Source organism: Homo sapiens, chromosome 5 (genome assembly GCF_000001405.40).
Source record: "Homo sapiens chromosome 5, GRCh38.p14 Primary Assembly".
Classification (NCBI taxonomy): domain Eukaryota; kingdom Metazoa; phylum Chordata; class Mammalia; order Primates; family Hominidae; genus Homo; species Homo sapiens.
The window spans coordinates 112,162,603-112,185,121 of NC_000005.10; the positions used below are offsets into that span (position 1 = coordinate 112,162,603).

General features: G+C 38.1%; 1 protein-coding gene across 14 annotated transcripts in view, besides 2 other annotated features; it reads right to left on the reverse strand.

Annotated features, from left to right (window-relative positions):
- The window catches only part of EPB41L4A (erythrocyte membrane protein band 4.1 like 4A), a 278,107-nt gene that overhangs the window by 20,774 nt on the left and 234,814 nt on the right, over positions 1-22,519 (reverse strand). For 7 of the 14 annotated variants that reach the window (XR_001742173.3, XM_011543531.4, XM_047417471.1 and 4 more), the window contains 5 exons: positions 21,414-21,533; positions 8,343-8,390; positions 7,699-7,767; positions 6,393-6,503; positions 6,137-6,218 (listed from right to left, as the gene is read on the reverse strand). Coding sequence is in view for 12 of the 14 variants with exons in the window: in XM_011543531.4 (XP_011541833.1) it covers positions 6,137-6,218; positions 6,393-6,503; positions 7,699-7,767; positions 8,343-8,390; positions 21,414-21,533 (430 nt within the window). In the remaining 2 variants the exon portion in view is untranslated. Of the gene's footprint in view, positions 1-16; positions 2,517-6,136; positions 6,219-6,392; positions 6,504-7,653; positions 7,768-8,342; positions 8,391-21,413; positions 21,534-22,519 lie in introns of those variants that run through there. The other 7 variants (XM_047417476.1, XM_047417474.1, XM_047417475.1 and 4 more) reach the window with 2 other exon arrangements.
- Positions 2,862-3,539: an enhancer, noted in NCBI's record as "H3K27ac hESC enhancer chr5:111501161-111501838 (GRCh37/hg19 assembly coordinates)". NCBI's record gives its function as "activates a minimal SCP1, AML or CMV promoter by ChIP-STARR-seq in naive H9 embryonic stem cells {active_cell/tissue: H9 hESC(naive)}" and the evidence as "EXISTENCE:reporter gene assay evidence [ECO:0000049][PMID:30033119]".
- Positions 3,540-4,217: an enhancer, noted in NCBI's record as "OCT4-NANOG-H3K27ac hESC enhancer chr5:111501839-111502516 (GRCh37/hg19 assembly coordinates)". NCBI's record gives its function as "activates a minimal SCP1, AML or CMV promoter by ChIP-STARR-seq in naive and primed H9 embryonic stem cells {active_cell/tissue: H9 hESC(naive and primed)}" and the evidence as "EXISTENCE:reporter gene assay evidence [ECO:0000049][PMID:30033119]".

Here is a 22,519-nt window from a genome sequence, read left to right on the forward strand (position 1 = left end):
GAAACGACAAATAATGTATAGAGGTATTCAAAAAATTTATTGAAAGCACTGTACTAGGAGCTGAGAACACGATGATGAGCACAACACAGTTCTTCCCTTTGGAAACATAGATAAGTGGAGGGAATGTCATCACAAATGTAAAACTTCACTATGAGATGAGTTCCGTGATAGGATTTTCTTAGGGAAACCTGAGAAAGAGTTGAGACTAAAGGTATGTGTCATATTTTTCACAAGGCAAAACTGGGGGAATGACATATACAGAGGCTTGGGCTAGAAAAAAGATACCGTTAGTCCACTTACTTTTGAGACAGTTTTGGCTGCTTTCCCTCTTCAGTGCCCTGTTTTAGAACTGAGTCCTTACTGAGGCTTGTAAGATGGCTATTATGGGAGGTGAGAGTGTTACAAAATGAGGCTGAAGAGGTAGGTAAAGAAGCCAGACCACTTCAGGCTCCCTCTGGCTTTATTAAAGCAAGATAAATCCATGGTGGAAAATCAGATTTGCAAGAAAAGGTAGTTGAACTAGGTTGCTTATTGTTGTCTAGACAAGAGACCAGCTTGGACTAGTAAAATTAGTGAAATAAGATCGTTTATAGTTGGATGACAGAGCCAACTAGACGTGGTAATAGTGGAGGTGTCCATAACTGCTAGGTGTCCAGCTTGCACACTGATGAGCATAATGACCCTAGATTCAGCTGGGGAGCAGCATTTAAACAGCTGAATTTTTAAATTACCTTTGAGAAACCCAAATGGTCTTTTTGCAGTAGCACATTACTCAGTAGTCTAAACTACAGAAATAAACCTTAAGGCCATGGGTATAAATGAGATCTGCTGGTGGTAGAGGAAGAGGGCCTAGGGTCTGAAGTTTGAGAAACTCCACTAATTAATGGCAAGGTAAAGCATGATAAGCCAGAAAGGATGGTCAGTGGTAGGAGCAAAATAGGATTATATTAAAGAAGCAAAAGAATGTCCTAAAAATTCTCCCTGGGATTAAGTAACACAGTGATTGATATTAGTGGAGTAGAGGGAAAGATCCATGTTAGAGATAGCTTAAGATAGGGATTAGATGAATTGAGGGCAATGACTAAAGATACTGCTTGCAAGAAAACTGGCTGAGAATGAGAGGAAAATCTTAGTTGCTTGGCGGGAGGGGGTTTGTGGTTGTGAAAGATAGTTTTGTTTAATCTTAGTCTTAAATTTAAAACCAAGTAGCAAGGATCTAGCTGAGAGAATAATTGAATACATTAATATAGGAGGACAGACAAAGATCCTGAAAAGGCTGGGAGAAGAGCATCCAAAGCACAGGTGGAGAGACAAAAAGGTTAGGGCTGCTGGCAGCTGTGGAGAGAACTGTACGTGGTAAGGGGGAGATATAAGATGTCCTGCATAAGTATTTTCCCTGTAGATTGCAAAGTCATCTATGGAGAGGAAAGGTACAAAATAGTCACTGGGGAGAGCAGGTGAATTAGATGGCCAAGCAGGGTGGATGGATCATTTGAGGTTTGGGGTGACAGATCAACTGAGATCCACTTACACTTCTGAAAACGCAAGAACACTTTAGAAATTAACAACACTTAAAGCTTTTTACATCATTTGTAAATAACTGGTGGAACTTAACACCACAAAATAAAGTATTATAAAGAACTTTATATGAATAAAAATATATGCAGTCTGAAAGTGATGCCTCAGTCCTTTTGCATCTGGGCACTAGTTGAGAACCAGCCCAGCCCTGGGAAGACGTCCTCCCACTTGTACTATTGCACAGCAGGCTAGCTGCAGTTCAGAATTCCAGAATGTTCATCAGATGCATCTGGTCTTGGTTGTGGTGGACACAGACACAAGATAGAAATGAATGATTGCTATCCTGTTCCAGAAATGAAAATGTGGTATCAAGTGAATTTTTACAAAATACTTATTCTTCCAGTTAAAACAAAAAGGTCCTTCAGCACAACTGTGCTGTAGTTAAACCATGGCCTATAATCCCAGCACTTTGGGAGGCTGAGGCAGGCGGATCACTTGAGGTCAGGAGTTCGAGACCAGCCTCCAACATGGCAAAGCCCTGTCTCTACTAAAAATACAAAAAGAATTAGCCGGGTGTTGTGGTGCACGCCTGTAATCCCAGCTGCTCGGGAGCCTGAGACAGGAGAATCGCTTAACCCAGTAAGTGGAGGCTGCGGTGAGCTGACACGGTGCCGCTGCACTCCAGCCTGGGCGACAGAGTGATAACATCTCAAAAAAAAAAAAAAAAAGAAGCAAAAGATAATGTATTTTCTCATGCTGAAGAAATACTTGCAGGTCTGAGATTTGAATTAAGATACCTATTTCACAGTTTCAAAAGTACCAGTGGCGCACACAACCTTCCCACCCCTACCCTTGACCCTTCATCAGGATCAAGTCTCTGTCTTGAGGCGGGAAGCTTGTATAGTTTTTATTGTTTTTGCTGTGTGTTTTCCAGCCAGGTTGTTTGTAGATGTCTGAGGTTTTTCTTCCATCAGGCTATCTTTAGACCCATTTCTTCTCTAAAATATATTTGAAAAATGTAGAAAGATTCAGAAGAAAACAGCCAAATGAAGTATTTTAATTACATCAGAAACCAAGCTGCTCTTAAATTTAAGATACTGAGTTAATTCAAAAGTTTCATAATACCAAAAGCTATTCAATAAATGTTCCCTCTAAATAGCTGTGCAAAATAAAGTTTGTATTTAAACTTTAATATACAAAGTTAGTCTGACATTTACATGCATAACGATTTTATTCATGAATATTAGGCATAATTCACCCAAATCAGTGTCATTACTTTTGTTAACAATTCCCAAACCAGGCTCTCAACCTCACTCTTCCAAACAGGATAGTGATGGAGACTTGGAGGCAATTTATAATCCCCTGATTATATTTTCAGTAGTCAATGAATGGAACAATGTCTTGTGAGCCCCTATCACTTGTCTCATACGGAGAAACAGGGCAGCTCATTACCAGAGCCTGGGCACCACATCCACTAGTTTGTAAAACTTAGGTTTTACACATCTCCCATCATCACTGGTGGAGGCTCTGAGAATGACACTAACTCACAACTACTACTTCTTATGCGAACCCCTCCTCCTCTTACTTCCAAGGATGGTCTAACATTGTCAGTGTATCAGGCTGGCAAGCATATTTCCTTCCCCAAATGTATATTCCCATAAATAATGGGCTATACCGTCCCAATCTATTTTGAGATTTGTTTGAGCTAAAAATAAATAAATCCCTCTTAAAATGCAGCTACCTTTAATCTGTTCCTATGACTGGCTTAATTTGTTTTACTGACATTCAAAAAGCACTGATGGAATAATTATTCTGCCTATCATGGGAAGCATGAACCCATCTATTTGGGATGGAAGATTTCTAGATAGCCAGAGGTGGGAAGAGAACACCAGTGAATGTGAGAGGAGAATACAGCAGAAGAATTACCAGAAAAAAAGTGCTAGGAGAGGACCTGAAATAAGTACTATGTTGTAAGTTTGTCTAGGATTGAATCTGTCCACTCTGCAGACCTTAAGAAATTAAGTTGCTATTCTTCCCCATTCTTAGCAGCCTTTGCGTGAAAAGGCAAGGTGAGGTGTAAGGCAGGTCACTGCCAGAACTCTGGTGGCATTGTGGTGGAAATTAGAACTTAAAGTTGTACCTTAAAAATGTACCTTTCCAGCTTCCACTGGTCACTCCAGCCCCTTCTCCGCTTGGCAGCCAGATGAGTGGCTTCCTTTTAGCACTTGGAATAAAACAGTAAGATCCAAACGCTTCCCACAGCCTTTAAGTCCCTGTGTTATCTGCCTTTCCCCTCAAGCTCACTGCATGTTGGTCTTTCAGCTCCTCAAATACCCAGGCCCTCTCCAGAGTCAGCATTTTCCCTACATTCCTCACTCTGATTACATCAGCCTTGCAGCCACTCACATGGCTAGCTCCTCACCTGCCAGGTCTCAGCTTTAAATGCCACTCTCTGAGATGGCCTCTGACCACCCTAAACATGTAAAGTGAGGTCACTTTGTTGCTTCTCTAGCTCAGGCATTTCTTTGTAATGCATACTCCTATTTGTTTTAACTGTTTACTTTTATGCCTCCAGGTCTAGGCTAGGGTCATCAAACTTTTTTATAAAGAGCCAGACTGTAAACTACATCCTGTTTGTGTCACGTGTTACTGTTATTTTGTTTTGCTTTTAAACAACCCTTTAAAGGTGTAAAAACCATTACTGGCTTCTGGGCTGTACAAAGGCAGCAGACTAGATTTGGCCCTTAGGCCATGGTTTGCTGATTGCTCAGACCAGTGCTCAACACTCCTTAGATGGGCTCACTGGATATTTACTGAATTCAAAATCAAGAGTGTCCTGGAGACAGGCTTAGAATCAGTGCCACTGATCAGAAGATGCATGTGAGTTCTTGTATCCCGCAAAGTGAAAGCTATTCTTCCAACTTAGAATATGTGTAAGTTTTTTTAATTCCTGAGTGGAAATAAAAATTACTACTTGTATTGAAACCAACTAAAATTTAAGACAAAAAAAAAAAAAAAAACACCGAAAGATAACTGCTTATTAATCATCACAATAACCCTAGGAGGTAGGTTATCTACACTGTATAAAAATTGAGGCTTAGAAGTTTAGCAGTATTAAAGTTACACAAGTAGTACACAGAGATGAAACACAAATGATTCAGGTCAGTCAGAATGCAAAGCCTAAACTTAATCATGAATATAATTTTGAAAAAGTACTGTCAACTTTAAACCAATCGTCTATTTGGACAACCTATTAGCTCTCCCAGGCTGATCTCATCAAATATTATGCAGATTATAGTAGAAGCTGCGTTTACCATGCAGATCGCCATTCTAGACTGAGGCATTCATTCTCTAGCTGCTGGGAGTGTTGCCTGCCGTGTAGCTCAAAACTGAGCCCCTCCCCAGGAACTGCCCTCAGTTGAAGAGAAATCCCCCTTCCCAGAACATCCCTTACCCAGTGACTTCTATGGGGTGAGTGTGAATGTGTAAAAGTTCAACCCCCTTGTCCCAAAGTAGAATGAATTTGAAGAGCCATCTCAGCTCTAGAGCTCCCTGTGCGGATCAGCTCTTGCCTCTGCCCAAACCCGTCTTTGACTTTCTCCCCAACAACTATGGATCCCGTGGGCACTTTCCAACAAGCTTCCTGCATGCAGATCTCCATTTCAGAATCTATCTAGGGAACCTAACCTAAATTAGCACAGGCCTTGCTCCAGTCATTGATAAAAACAAAAAGGGCCATACATGATAGATACTGCTGGTGTCAGGCTTCTTACGTGGTCCAAAAACTGTACATGTGCTTAGATGCATTTTTATGGGATGAGAGTCAGTAGATACAACTGGCTTTTCTAAAGGATCCATGATCAAATGACACTGAAAACCACAACACGACGAACAACGGGCTGACCCTGATCCATCAGACACATCAACTTTGTTTTTAGAGTTTTACAGTGGTTGTTTAACCAGATATAAATCCATCTAACTGTCTTATTCAGCCCACATTTTTTCCCATCTTATTAAAAAATACATCATGAGAGGCGGTATGAAACTCTTCCTGAACTATGTTTGCTACAGTGTTCCCCTGATTATCAAATTCAGCTAAGTGTTAAAGTGATTTTGTTAAGGCAGCTAGGTGTTCTGTCTGAATTCCTTTTTAACTACATTTTAAAAACATTTCCAGAATTAAGGTAATTGTGATGGAGAAGACAGAAATAAAACAGGACTTAAGTAATTCTTCTGTCTGCTATCAGTTAACAAAGTGAGTCTATCACTTTCTCTTTGTTTCTCTGGCTCAAAATACCTGTTGTTACTATCGCTTTTTAATTAGTGAAACAATTGTTTCTTTATTCTGGCTCCAAATGGTCTTACAATCTTTGTTATCCTCAGCTGTGCCCCACTACCTCTACCTGTTATTCCTAACTCTTCCCAGATTGTGCCAGGGTTCTTGATCATGCACTTTTCCTTCCATGATTTCTCCACGTTCTTTTAAAATACAGAATCTCAGAATGACATTAAGGTTTCATTGCCTGCCCTACCTCCCTAAAGGAACTTTCCAAAGCACAAAATGCTTCTCAAAATTGTCATCAATACAACACCTTCTTCAAACCTTACTATTACTAACCTGATGAACTGTAGCATCCCCAGAACCCTGAGCATCCGAAGAACGGGTCACCGGAAGTGGTGGTACAAGATCTGTTTTTGAACTGCAGAGAATGAGTTTTAGAATTAGTGACTGGAACAGTATCTAGAATCATAAATTAAGTTGGAAGAGAACTACAGTGTAGATATAAAACATTTCCATCAGCAAGTAAAGTTCTTTTAGACTGCACTGTTTTGGAGCCATGATGGTGATGGTGTACTCTGGCCTGCCCACTTACTTCACTTCCGAGAGAACTGATCGCTCCCCATCTGAACACTGGGACCTGCGATACTGGCGGTAACTTCGTGGCGAATGAGAATGCCTGATGCGGATTGGGTCACCTTGTGTCCTGAACAAGCAACCAAGAAACATGAAAACAAACACCCAAAGTCAGAAAAGGAAAAGTAGGAGTTCTTAATATTGAAACCGCAAAAGAATAACAACTTTCAGAGTTTTAAAAAGAACTTGACTCCTAGGGTTTGAAAGCCTGAGTGACTTAAATTTCACAAGAAAAATGCTCCCTTGACAATATGTGAAAATGAAGCTCTTTAAAGTATTTGTGTGTATACATATATATATGTATGTATGTATATTTTTTAACAACCAAATTTTAAATGAAATTATTCCTTACCGTGGAATTCTTCTTAGTAGCGTGGAAGTAAACAAAATCTATAATGCAGACAAAATGGCATTCCTAATGGAAAAAGTTGGTCCGCTGTCCTAGCTACCAACATTAAGAATTCAGTCTTTACTTGAAAATTGCTAAGAAAGTAGATCTTAAGTGTTCTCTCCATAAAAAAAAAGTATGTGAGGTGATAGATACATTAGCTTGACTTCAGCATTTCACAATGTATACATATATCAAAACATCAGATTGTATAAACATACACAATTTTTATTTGTCAATTATACCTTAATAATTAAAAACAAATAAATAATTCAAATCTTTGACCTAAAGATGGGGACGGAGGGTGGCTGGGGTGTACCAACCTGCTATTTAACTGTGGTGGGAAAGCAGCATAGCTACAGAAGGGAAACAAAGCAGGCACTCACTTTCTCTTAACCAAGTACTGGTAAGGCAGAAAACACAGTCAACAGGTACGGTTCCTCTTACACTGGTGACTAAGGACTCCTGCTGTGCTTTCACGAAGCCTGCTCAATGTGCTGCTTCTATGCCAGGGATGGGACTGGGCTCATATGAGAGTTTTATGGTCAACATAATTCTCTTGGTGTAAAATAATGGATAAAAAACTTTATCAGTGAGAATCTCAGAAAAGAATTTATTTTAAAACTGACATTAATCAGGAAAAGCCCCCTTGTACCTACCAAGTACAAAGAGGTGGCTAATAAGAGATGATAGTGATTATAGTGTAGAATAAGTAGCTTTAATGCACACTTTTCTTCCTCTTTCGCTACTGTCACCTAGTTTTGTTTAAAATGTAAAGACAAATTAAAGCACTGTCTGGAACACAATTGAAGAATTAGAATGGATTACTCACAAGCACTAATAAAGCTTTGGTGAGAAGATTCTGAAAGGCACTCACTCTATTTTAGTGTATGGAATCTCTTTTAATTGTTCTTCGGACAATCCGGATGGATCCACAAGTTCTTTTCTGTAAAGGAATATGCAAGAAAATGATAGTTGTGGTGCTGGTATAAATGCTAGTATCTTTCACAATCGGCAGGTGAGTTTTCCCTTTCTAATCTTGTCCCAAAACAGTGTTAGTAAAACTAATGAAAATTTATAAAAACTAAACGTGTTCAAGGAAAAATAGGAGGGGTAAAACCTTTTCTGTAGCTCTTTTGCCTTCTTTCAATTCTTCTACATTCAGACTCCAGTCATTCCCCATTTCCCTATAAAAGATCTGCTTCTCTCCCCTGTGGTAGGTGTCTTTTTTCTTCTGGATTTGTTTTCCTTGGTATTTATTTGTAAACTATTGGCCTGTCTGAGGTCCATTTAGAGGCGAGACTAAATGACCCAAGGTGAGGAGGTGTCAGGGTTGCCTGTAGATAGGTGTTGATATGGTTAAGGCACCACCACCATGTGCTCCATGTGCCTGCCACACACAGTGGCAATGGCTTTGGCAGGCATCACGCTGAAGTTGCCTCTCAGTATCAGGAGTCTTCCTTGCAATTGCATTAAAACTACATGGGTTTTAAAACAATAAGAAAGAAAACTATTACTCACTGAATGTGCTTCCATAACTCTTCTTTTGCTTGGATATCGGGGCTTCTCCTATAAATAGAGAAAACAACATTCATCTCTGCAAACATGCTTCATCTCACAACCTAATAACTAACTTTAATAGTTTTCAGACTGTGAAGTTCTTATTTGCCAGCTGAGAACAGACAAGGAAAGACTGGACAGGGAGAGCCATTGTGATGGTTAGTATAAAGACACCAGCAGCTAAATTGCTGCTACTGCCGCTGAAGGAAAATCATAAAACCCAGTCATAACCAGAGCTTCATTTAATGAAAGACCTCAGAACTGCAGGGTCATATGCCTCCCCATCCAGTGGTAACTGTACAACGAAGAATGATTCAGGGCGTCTGTTTCTGATCTTTCCAGATATTTGTAAGTAATGGTAAAAGAAGAACTCATCCTGATTCTAAAAAGTTCCAACATGATCTGTGATTACCTAGGAGAAGCAACCACCAAAAGGAAAAAGCAACTGGTGGGATGGCCCTGATGGCAGACTGTACCAATGACCCATCTTTCATGTTACATCTGGTGTTGCATTTCTGCAACAAAACTTGGGCCAGCAAATGCTAGGACTATCAGTGGCCTTGGCTCATGCTGCCACCCTCTTTACGCCCTTCTCCATTCCTAACTATTGACTCTGCAAATCTTTTCTCCAAGAAGTATGTGAGCAGATATTATACCACTATCTTTAACTTCCTAGAATGAAAAATTCAGTCAGCATTCAAGTGTTTGTACTCTCTGTAGTATCAACTATTTCTCCCATTGTAGCAATGAATGCAGTGAAATCTATTATCACTGCAATTGTTGACACAGAATGATTTTTCTTCATAGTGAGAAAATAAGCTTTCATCAGTCCCTTTAAGAGAACAGAGATCTAGTAATAGGCCAAAAGAAAGAACAAATAATTAAAAGCCACTGATCCTATGGAATTGTATGTGATTAATCTGTATTAGCATTTGGGGGGCTCAATAATGCTTTTAGTGTATGATATCATTAATGCTTTCATTCTTCTCGATTCATAAGGGCACCACTACGGTATTCTGGTAGGGCTTCCTGAACCTACAGAATACACTAAGCTACTTTCCAGCCACTGAGTTGACCAAATGGTTTTTCCTTTGTGCAGGGGGAAAAAAGTGATCTGTCTATAAAGACCTTTTAATCAACTCAGGATGAGACAAAACATGAAAAGGAAAAAGGGATGAAATCTTGGTCTCAGACCAAATATGGTACTGTTAAATGTAGATGTTCTTTGTTTTAAGAATAAGATTAGGCTGGGCATAGTGGCTCAAGCCTGTAATCCCAGCACTTTGGGAGGCCAAGGTGGGTGGATCACTTGAGGTCAGGAGTTCAAAACCAGCCTGGCCAACATGGCAAAACCCCATCTCTACTAAAAATACAAAAAATTAGCTGGGCATGGTGGCATGTGCCTGTAATTCCAACTGCTTAGGAGGTTGAGGCATGAGAATCACTTGAACCTGGGAGGTGGAGGTTGCAGTAAGCCGAGATCACACCACTGCACTCCAGTCTGGGCAACAGAATGAGACCCTGTGCCAAAAAAAAAAAAAAAAAATTGTATGTTTCTTACAAATCATAGAAACTGCTTCCTTGGTGTCCTGTATGTATTCTGCCTTTCCTACATTTGGTTGGTCTGATTTGCTAGATAATATGTTAACCCCATTAAATGATACTGTCAGAGAAAGTGCTAATATTAAAAAGCACTAAGGTGTTATTCCATTCTGACAGAATGATGGTTCAGCTGTGACTATACCCCAGGATCTATTTCTTACAGTCAACCAAGAGTCTGAAGTATTACATAATATCCAGGTTAGGAAGCTATTCTACTGATCATTATTCTTATTTCAGGAAGGTATGATAGTGGGCATATCAGCTTCTTCTAGTTACAGCAGGGTTTCCCACCCTTGGCCCTACTGACATTTTCTATACTAATTCTGTGCTGCAGGAGGCTGTCCTGTGCATTGTAGCATGATCAGTAGCACCTGTGGCCTCTACCCAACTAGACGCCAGTAGCACCTCCCCAGTGTGACAGCCAAAAATGTCTGTAGACAATGTCCCCTTGGAAGCAAAACTGCCCCCAGTTGGAAAACCACTGATTAAGGGTATGACCTAGGAATTAAGTGGCTATGGTTGGGTGGTGGAAGCCAAGTTTTTGTAAAGATCCATTATGTGAGTACTAGAATAGTGCTGGAGAGAGTGACAGTACAGCAGAACCTAAATCTTAAAAGAATGGGAAAATGACCGAGGGTGCAGTTGATGACAACTACCGGAAGTGGTGAGTGGTATCATGTGAGGGCATGCAATTCAAAGCTGAATGCTTTCAGGGTGGACACGGGGAGAATGAGGAAAGTTATGAGTGGCCAGGAGGACATACACCCCATGATATCAGGCCTAGTGGTGAGAGATAGTGACTATGAACAATACATTAAAAAAATGATAACATGATAACAGTGGATATGTCTGAGTGCTGGTATTGCAGGTAATTTTATTTTCTTGTTTATGCTTTTCTATATTTTCTGATCTTTTTAAGCCAGGAGAATTTCTTACCTTAGTTATCAGGAAAAAAAATAAGAGTGTTTTCATGTTTTTTTTTTTAAATATACTATTATTGTAATTCCAAAGGAAATGCTTTTCATTCCCATCTCAGAAGAATTAGAGAAATGTTATCTTTGTTTTTTTTTTTTTTTGAGAGAGAGTCTCGCTCTGTCACCCAGGCTGGAGTGCAGTGGCCCCATCTCGGCTCACTGCAAGCTCCGCCTCCTGGATTCAAGCGATTCTCCTGCCTCAGCCTCCCGAGTAGCTGGGATTGCAGGCATGTGCCACCCTGCCCAGCTAATTTTTGTATTTTTAGTAGAGACGGGGTTTCACCATGTTGGCCAGGATGGTCTCCATCTCTTGACCTCATAATCTGCCCACCTCAGCCTCCCAAAATGCTGGGATTGCAGGCGTGAGCCACTGTGCCTAGCCTGAGAAATGTTATCTTAATCTGAACGAGATCATCAGACCTTCTAGCCATTAACATTGGTCCTAAAAGATTGAAGAGTTTAGTCTTTATTTTTACATTCTATAGCACCATAAAAGTCCTATTTTTAACTAAACTAAGTTCTGACGTGGCCAATAGTTTCAAACAGTTTTAAGGCGAGGAAAAGTTCCAAAGCTTAAAAAATGCTAATTTCCTCTGATTGCTAGACCACCTGTGATTTCACAAATGTCAACACAAGCTGCATGTTAATGAGGAATGTATTATTTTTATGCTTACATCTGCACACACATTTAATCAATAATTTAGGATGAATTCATGATCTGCAGCTCAGTGTTATCTTGTGGATTTAGAAAGCTGTGGAATTCCAGCAGTCATTTTTCTTAATTTGAGGCACTTAATTATGCAGATGTTTTACTTAAACTCTCCAAATAAATTCCTAAGGAAAGGAAATAGAACCCTGAGTTGTCCATAGGTACGACATATATAGAAAATAAACATGCAGCCCAGTATTAGTCCAGTATTTTTCAAAAGCATCCCTCCTCCACATACAAATATTCCACTTTAAATTAATCAGAGAAATTAGTTTGATGACACATCATTCACAAATCACTTTCCCTTATTCCAAAACCCTGAAACAAACATATCATAAATCTACAAAGGATTTAAACTCCATCACTGCATATAATCATTTTAAATATCCCCCAAACTATTCAACTATATTATCTAAAAACATAATATGGGCAATACATTATCCAGTAATATATTTACTATATTTTGTATATTATACTAAAAAATATGGCAGTATTTTACTCTTTTTTTGTCCATCTTTATACTGATCACTCCTCTGAAAGGAAATTTAGAGTGGAAAATATGTACATTTATAAAACATCTTTATTTAAGGAATTCAAAGCACCTAACAAATATCCCAGTCATTCTTTGTCACATTCCTGACGGGTCAAAATAAATCTAATTAGGAGATGTCTTACTCTTCTCCCTCCCCCTCCAAATCAAAGAAGCCTTAGGAAGCCACTGAGATGAACAACCTAGCTGCTGAAGATCGCTCAGGAGGCACTTCCGGGTTGGGGGTGGGGGTTCATGTTATATCTTCACCTAACACACCAGACTTATATGTTTTGTGTGTAACTGAGAACATCGCCCTGACGGCCTCATCTTCCACAGTATCAGTACTTTTCAATAAAAATAGTAAGATATTATCACCACCAGAGGGAGCCCGAACCTTCTCTTGCACCCAGGTTTGACCCTACCAAAACCATTGTTTACGCTTTAATACCTCTTCCAAATATCCCACTGAGTAAAGGTTCACCCATGTAGAAAAGCAGGTTCAACAAAGCTTTTTTCCTAGTGATAAACATCAACTGTAGCTGAAAAATGTACTAAATAGAACTGTACTTCCCAATGTTTTAACAGAGATCTAATCATATTTCAGCTTAACGCTTTTTAGTAGAAAACAGTTTTGTATTTTATACTACTCTACTCTTATGTCTCTGGTATTTAATAATGAATTGATTTTCTAGCTATTTGTTGCGGATAAAATACAAAAATGAATAATGGTGTATCATAACCTTCTGACCCTTAATGGATACCTAATTTACATATACTGCAGTAGGAATTTAAGAATATGGGAGTAATGGAGAGATCAGTGGTTTACTGTACATCTGAAATGCCAAATATACATAAATATTTTTATATAGTACATATATTTTAAAATATTTTCTATATTATGTATATATTATATCTGAAGATATGTGTGTGTGTGTGTATATGTATATATATATGAAGGATAATTTTGATTGCTTTCCTTGAATACTGCCCTAGCCATGTTTCCACTTTTTCTAAGGGATGCGGTCTCACTATGTTGCCCAGGCTGGTCTTGAACTCCTGGCCTCAAGCAATCATCCCTCCTCAGCCTCCCAAGTAGCTGGGACTACACATACAAGCCACCATACCCAGCTTATATTTCCACTTTTAAAGAAAGCTGTAGTGGTTCCTAAATCCTCACACAACCAAATTCAAGTCTCTAAGGACTTTTTGTGAGTTGCCTTATCTACTCTCTTCATTTCTCACCACCTCCTCATCTCAAGGAAAAACACAAATACCTTGCAGTGTTTCTAGAGAATAACTAAGACCTGGGGGAACTTACTAATAAAGGCTGTGACACAGGCACAACCTCACTTAATGCTCAGCAAAATCCTAAGAGCGTGGTACCATCAGTGTTGTAGAGATGGAAGCTCATGGGGATCAGGTAATAAGCTGAAGATCCAGAATGCAAACAACAGCACCCAGCAGGTATTTTATTAATTGTCAATCAATCTCAGGCTTTTAACAGTCATAACTCAAATAAAGGACAGAGCTCAGTTTGTGCTATATGAAGTAATCCATCATCCTTAAGAGTTACAACATTTGTATTCAGTTGTCCACCTGACATTTCCATTAACTGCCTACTTGGCATCTCAAACCTAACAAAGAGAAATCTTGATTCTCTCCCCCCCAAAACATTCCTGGCCCATCCCTTCCCATCTCAGTAAAACACGATGCTACCCACTCAGTGCATCTGCTCAGAAACTCAATGTCATCCATAATACCGCTCACACTACAAATCTGTCAGCTGTACTTCCAAAATGTATATTCATCTACTCTCTTCATTTCACCACCACCATCTTTTCTGAGCTAAAAGCGTCTCACGTGGACCACTGCAAAGTTTTCTAATTGCTTTCCTGCTTCCTTTCTTCCTCTTTCTCAATCTGCTTTTTACCCACCAGAGCAACTTTTTTTTTTTTTTTTTTTTTTTTTTTTGAGATGGAGTTTCACTCCTGTTGCCCAGGCTGAAGTGCAATGGCGCCATCTCGGCTTACTGCAACCTCCGCCTCCCAGCTTCAAGCAATTCTCCTGACCCAGCCTCCCAAGTAGCTGGGATTACAGGCACCCACCACCACACCCAGCTAATTTTTGTATTTTTAGTAGAGACGAGGTTTCACCACGTTGGCCAGGCTTGTCTTGAACTCCTGAACTCAGGTGATCGGCCTGCCTTGGCCTCCCAAAGTGCTGGGATTACAGGCATGAGCCACCGTCCCCGGCCAGCAACTTCTAAATGAACTACTATCCACACAAATATATATATATAATTTTTTTTTCTACTTTAACTGCACTTTGGCCGTATCAGCTGAGAAATCTGACACAGGTCCTACTGGACTAAAATCAAGGTGTTGGCATGGCTGCATTCCTTTCTGCAGACTCAAGGGAAAATTCATTTTCTTGTGTTTTCCATCTTCTGGAGCTGCCCACATTTATTCGTTCAAGGCCTTTTCCTCTATTTTCAAAGCCAGCAACAGCAGGTTGAGTCCGTTTCAAACTGAAACACTCTTCCTCTTCTGTCACCTCTTCCACTTTTAAGAAACTTATGATTACTTTGGGCCTACTTGGATAATCCAGGATAATATCTCTGGGTGAGGGTCAACTGATTAACAACAGCCTTAATTCCACCTGCAATCTTAACTCCTCTCTGCCATCTAGGGTCATATATTCACACATTATGGAGATTAAGCCATGGACATATATCAGGGGTCATTATTCTTCCCACCACAGTAACTAAGGTTTTTCCTCCTCTTAATTTCTTTATATAAAAACTCACTGTTTAAGCAAAGATACATTAACATTTTAATACGAGGCTTCTAACAGGCAAAAATAAAATATATGACAATAGCACAAAGCACAAGTGGAGCTATATTTTTCCAATGTTTCTAAATTTTAAATGTTACAATATTCATCTTAGGGTGTGATAAGGAACCATACTGATAAGAATCATACTTACAGAGAGAAAGCAATAAATAAAAAAATAATAAAAGTATAGGTAAGATATCAGTAGAGAAAATAAAATGGAGTATCAAAAAATATTCAGTTCACACAAAATAAAGTAGGAAGGGAGCAACAAACCAACAAAAAACAGGCGTAATAAACCAGAAAAAAGAACAAGATGGTAGATTTATATCGCAAAATACAAATAATTATGTTAACTGCTAGCAGGCTAAACACTGAACTTAAAAGACAGGGATTGTCAGGCTAGAATTAAAAAAAAAAAACAAAAAGACCAACTGTACACTGTTTACAAGAGGTGGACTTTAAATATAAAGACATAACTAGGCTTAAAGTAACAGATTAAAAGGATATACCATGCAAACAGTAAACATGAAGAAGGTATGGTAGAATTTATGCGTGTGCATGTGTAGTGGACACAGAGAAAGTATTGCCAGAATAAAGGGTCATCAGTTCATCAGGAAGGAAAAAACCATACATATGCATACACCTAACACCAGAGCTTCAAAATAACTTGAAGTAAAAACTGACAGAATTAAAGGAAAAAACAGACAAATTGACAATCACTGTTGTAGATTTTAACATCCCTCTCTCAATGACTACTTGAAAAGTAGATGAAGAAATAAAAAAAAAGACACAATCTGAACACTATCAGCTAACTGCATCTATTCGACAACCAGTAACTGAGACTCCTCATTCTTCTTGAGTCTACAGATTATTCATCATTAAAAACCATATGCTAGGCCTTAAAACAAGTCTCAATAAATTTCAAGGGATTAAAACTGTTCAGACTTTTTTTTTTAACCACAATGGAATTAAATTAGAATAATAATAATATTTGTAGAAAATCCTGAAATATTTGGAAATTAAACACACAACTAAAAATGCCAGCATCAAAAAAAGACAAGATACATTAAAAATTATTTTGAACTGTATGATAACAAAAACAATGTCAAAAACATGTGAGATATAGTTAAAGCATGGCTGAAAGGGAAATTTATAAATTTATGCTTATATTGGAAAAGTAGAAAGGTTTAAAATAAATGTTATCCTAAGAAGATGAAAAAAGAAGAGCAGGTAAAAGACAAAATAAAAAGAATAAAAAGTACAGTCAATGAAACAGACAACAGATAGCAAAGAAAAAGCAACAAAATCTAAAATTGGTTCTCTGAAAAAAATAAATTAAAAAAAAATGAAGAGAAAACACAAATCACCAACATCAGGAATTAAAGTGGTGATATCACAACAGATTTCACAGATGTTAAAAGCACAGGGAGAATTATAAGCAAATTTTTGCTGAAAGATTTGACAACTTAGATAAAAATGAAATTATTTTAAAAGTATAAATTATCAAAACTTACACATAAGTATAAAATATGAATATCTCAATATCTGTCAAAGAAACTGAATTTGTAATTTAAAACCTTCCACAAAGAACATTCCAGGCAGAGATTGTTTCACTGGTGAATTCTATATTTAAGGAAGAAAAAAATGCTTTTATATTAACTCATTCAGAAAACAGAGGAAGAAGGAATATTTCTCAAATTATTTTAAATGACCAATATAATATTTTTACCAAAAACCTGACATTACAGGAAAATTACAGATCAATTTTTCACAAAAACAAAGAAAAAAATCTTAACAAGGTAATGCCAAATAGAATCCAGCTACATACAAAAAGGAAAATACATCATGACCACAAGGGGCTTATGCTAGGAATGCAAGGATGTGTCATTCAAAATTGAATCCATTTAATTCCTCCACGAACACAATAAACCCATATAACAACTATCTCAACAGATGCAGAAAAAGTTTATAACAAAACTCAAGACCCATTCATGATCAAAACTCTTCACTAACTCTTAGCAAACTGGAAATAGAAGGGATCTTCCTAAATTGTGCAGCTAGCATCATATATAATGTGACATATTGAATGCTCTCCCTTTATGAAAAAGAGCAGCCAAGGATGTCTGCTTTCTTACCACTTGTATTCAACATTGTAACTCAACACTGTACTACATGATCTAGCCAGTGTAAGGGAAGGAACAGAAATAAAAGACAGAAAGACTAGAAATCAAGGAAAACTGTTCACAAATATGATTGTAACCGCAGAAAATCGTAAGAAACTGCCCCCAACCAAAAGCTTCTAGAGCTAGTAAGTGAATTTAACAAGGCTTATGGGGTGGCAGGATGTAGCATCAGTATTTTTAAAAATCCTTTGTTCTTCTATATACTAAAAAACAACTGAAAAATAAATTTTCTGAAATATAACAAAATAAATTACTCCGTACTGAGAACTATAAAACATTGCTGCAAGAAGATAAAAACAAATGGATGAATAAGATATTTATTTTCTCAAAATTGATCTATACATTCAACATATTCCTAGTCAAAAGTCTTTGGGGGAAGGCAGTAAAAACTGACAAGTTGATTCAAAAATTTACACAGAAATGCAAAGGTCCTAATAAAATAGCTAAAACAATCTTGCATAAAGGGGGAGAGGGAAAGCCAAAGTTGGAGAATTTACACTGCTTTATTCAAGTCTTACTATAAAGCTACAGTAACCGAGACAACATGATGGCTTAGGGATAGACAAATAGATCAATGAAACAAAATTGGCCCACATGTGAGCAGTCAATTCACTTTCAACAAAGGCCACAAGGCATTTCAATGAAAAGTCTTTTCAAAAATGGTGGTGGAACTGGATAGACTACAGGAAAAACACCTCTCAATCTCTACTCATCCATATACAACAACTAATTCTAAATGGAACACAAACCTAAGTATAAAAGCAAAATCGATAAAGCTGCTAGAAAAAGATATAAGACTATCTTTGTGACCATGAGGTAAGCAAATACCCCTTAAGATTAAAAAAAAAAAAAAAGCCTTAACTAGAAATGAAAAAAACTGATACACTGGTCTTCATCAAAATTAAAAAGTCTGCTCATCAAAAAGCAATGTTAAGAACATGAAAATGCAAACCACAGCCTGGGAGAAAGTATTCATTCATAACGTGCATATCTGAAATTGAACTTTTATCCAGAATACATAAATAACCTACAAATGAATAAGAAAAAGGACAAACAATCCAATTAAACTGGACAAAAAATTTGAACACTTTAAAAATGAAGATATATGAATAACCAGTAAGCACACAAAAATGTGGTTATCATCATTAGCCATGAAAGAAATGCTCACTAAAACTACAATGGAATCTCTACTTCATGCCTAGTAGAATGGCGAAAATTAACGCAGCAACAAACTCAAATACTAACAAGAACTGGGGCAGAACAAGACCCTCTCGTATCTTGTTAGTGGAGTATAAAATGACCCAACCTTTCTGGAAATCATTTTGGTAATTCCTTATAAAATTAAACATGTGGCCGGGCGTGGTGGCTCATGCCTGTAACCCCAGCACTTTGGGAGGCCGAGGCGGGCGGATCACGAGGTCAGGAGATCGAGACCATCCTGGCTAACACGGTGAAACCCCGTCTCTACTAAATATATAAAAAATTAGCCGGGCGTGGTGGCGGGCGCCTCTTGTCCCAGCTACTCGGGAGGCTGAGACAGGAGAATGGCGTGGAACCCGGGAGGCGGAGCTTGCAGTGAGCCGAGACTGGCCACTGCACTCCAGCCTGGGCGACAGAGCGAGACTCTGTCTCAAAAAAAAAAAATAAATAAACACACAAATTCCCTCTAATCCAGCAATTCTACTCCTAGGTATTTGCCCAAGCGAAAGAAAACAAATTCCACACACATACTTGTAGAGAATGTCTATAACGCAATGGCAAAAACTGGAAACAATTCAGCTGTCCATCAAGAAGAGAATGAATAAAAATATTGCAGTATATACAAAAATTTAAATGACCACTGATACCATGGATGAAGCTCAAAAACATGTTGAGTGAAAGTAGTAGTATTTTAAAGGAGTATATATTGTGTTATTACATTTATATGAAGTTCGACAAGAGAGAAAAACTCATCATAGATATCAGAACAGTGGACCAGGCGCAGTGGTGCACACCTGTAATCTCAGCACTTTGGGAGGCTGAGCCCGGTGGATCACTGGAGGTCAGGAGTTTGAGACCAGCCTGGCCAACATGGTGAAACCCCATCTCTACTGAAAATAGAAAAATTAGTTGGGTGTTATGGCAGGTGCCTGTAATCCCAGCTACTCAGGAGGCTGAGGCAGGAGAATGGCTTGAACCCGGGAGGCAGAGGTTGCAGTGAGCCAGGATTGGGCCACTGTACTCCAGCCTGGGTGACAGAGAAAAAAAAAAAAGAAAAAGAAATCAGAACAGTGGTTGGTTGTGGGGGTGGGCACTGACTAGAAGGAGCATGAAGGAACTTTCCGGTTAATGGAAATATTCTATATCCTGACTGGCAGGATGGATAGGTTATGGATACATTTGTCAAAATTCATTAAACTGTACATATAAGATGAGAGGATCTGGCTGTATGTAAATTTCACCTCAAATTGCCTCAATTTTAAAGGCTGTTAAATGAACCTCCGACCACTTGACTAAAAAATTATTAAATTCCCAGGCCCACTACAAATAATTACTCCATAATATAACTGAATTATAGTAATAACAATTTTAAATTATTCTATTTCCCAATTTTTATTTACAAATGAATGGTTCCATTTATTTACTATTGCCTCCAGGAATGTTTTTTGACTTCTTCAAAACTTATATATAGGACTTTTTCTAATTTTATTTTACTTTCCCCTTTTTAAATAAATTAAATGTACTACTGGCATTTAATTGAACTCAGAATGCTTTAGAAATAGTTAGAAAAACTGAATGCTGTTTTAAGATTTAATATCAAGTTGCCAAACCTTGTGTATAACAAGTCCTTCATAGAAAACTATTCCACATGGAAAGGTAAAAATATGGTGGCAAAAGATTTACCCGTGACTACGCTGTATCTAATCTTGGGTTCTGCACCTTTTGGGTAAAGTCCTTCAGTGAGGTCTGATTCTTTCTTATCTAAACTTCCTTTTTTTTTTAATGGAGTTGGGGGAAGGTGCTATCTCACAACAAAGGAAATCTTCATTAACTTCAGCTTTAAATTGACTACCAGTTTAATTAGGTTGCTAAAAAAAAATTACAGAGTAATTAATACATCTGTAAGGGTGTACATGGTGTAGTGACTATTTGCAGGTTTTCTATTACAAAAGAAAGTCATCACTCATAATGATGCATTACTGATAAAATACACACATATACACGGGGTTAATTTCTAATTGAAAGGTAAACATCTAAGACTGAGAAGTGTCCCTTAGTGTCCCACAGTAAAAAGAGTCCTGGTGTGAACCCCCCGGTACACTCCAGAGTTCTTTCCTAATCTCTTTTAACCTGATGTGGCACTCACAGCTGTCCTCTTGTCACCCTCCTGCCTGGCTCCCTCAGAGCTCCCTACCTACCTACCCAGTCTCTACCTCCACTACCCAACATCCTTTCATTTCCTTATCATACACGACTGGACTTAATCCCTCCTCCTGTGAGTAATCAACATCAGACATCTAACTACCCACGATCACAAAAGGATCTGTACTTAGTCTTGGCTCACTTTAAAAAGGTGAGCCATGGTTTGGCAAGTGGAGTGGGAGTGAGGCGTCTAAATCTTGATAATGCACAGATTTAAAACACACACGCACAGAAACTTTACCAGCTCAAAGACAATTAATTTGGGGGACTGGCAATCACACCATTACGGTGTAATTGTGCTCACACATGGCGTTGCCTAGCAACAGGAGGAGCACGCAAATTCCAACACTGAGGTGTAATGAATCACTCACTGACTACTGTTCACAAATTGTATTTTGATGGGAAGATATTCACATCTGGTTCAGTCTGGAACAAGACTTCAGAGAATTGTGCAGACTCAAACTGAGAAGCAGCAGGTATTTCACCAACAGCCTGGCTCTACAACAAAGAAGACTATTCCTATTTATTCAGGTGAATGTATACTTTGGTTAAAAACAACACAAAACAAAAATATGGCTTTGAGGGCCTTGTTTTCATGACATTTTGTTTTGACTGTGCTTCAACTTCTATGGCTTCAAACATGGTTAATAAATGTCACAAATATTAGAAGGTAAATATGACAAATAAACAATGAAATAATCCTAGTTGAACTAAAACACTTTAGAAGACCTGAATATCCACATGCTACTTCAAATTCAGTGTTTTTGAATCAAGGTATAAAAAGAGTCCACATACGAACGAGATCTGTGTCTGGATCGCCTGTTGTTGGGGTCGGCTTGGTTTTTTTCCTTTTGTCTCCTTAATACAGCTTCCCACTGAGGCGCTGAATCAACCATATCATTCTCCTGCCGTATTCTGAAAGGAAAGCCATGCATCTGAAGTTAACATCTACATGGATGGCGCGTTTTAGGTTCATCCTAAACTTGCTTTTAAATGTTATTTAAGCAGCAGAAATTTTATTATGATCATTTATAGCTAAAGATGCATATTAACTGAATTAATATATCCATATGTAGGTAAGCATATATAAACCCTCAGAAGTAAATAATACTCATGATATATGTAAACACATTATTTGCAGACTTCTGATTTTAATTTTCTAGGAAAAAGACATGTATCAAAAACTTATTTTAAACATTTCTAAGTTTCGACTAAAGAAACTCTGGTGTCTGCTATAGAGCCAATCTTAACCAATGCTACAAAATCATTATTTTAAATGTGCTAGTCAAAATAGTAATAAATAGTTTTACTTTGAAATACTCTTAAAAAGTCAAGCTAATTGTCAAAGTTTTCATTAAAAATAGGTGCCAAATATAATTCCCATTTTTTGAGAGAGAAATCTAGAAGTACAAAAAGTTAAATATGGTGGCATAATGCATTAGCTGAATAAGACACACCATTCCCATCATGGCTGCTCACATGTTTAAGACGGAATGACAGTTGGATGCTGGATGTGGGCAGGGAAGGAATGAAAATGAGGAAAAGAGAAAGGTGGGAAAGACTTGGAAGCACAGGCACTTGACATGTAAGATCACAAGACAGTGTTACCAAATCCTCTCATTTTTTTAAAAAAAGATAATCCCCAAATCTGGATTCTTAAAGTGAACTCTTCTAATTTTTAAGTCTTGCAACCAATTCTAAAGCATGATATAGACTTAACAAAACCCATGGACCACACTCAACCTGCAGAAATTTTGGACTTCCGAGGTATCAAGTCTTTCAAATAATGAGGTGCACTATTGGCAGGAGAGAAGAAGTACTTAATTTATGTGAAATACTGTCTTGAATGCACCACAATGATGCTGTGAAGCCTTTTTTTTTTTTTTTGGCAAAACGGAACC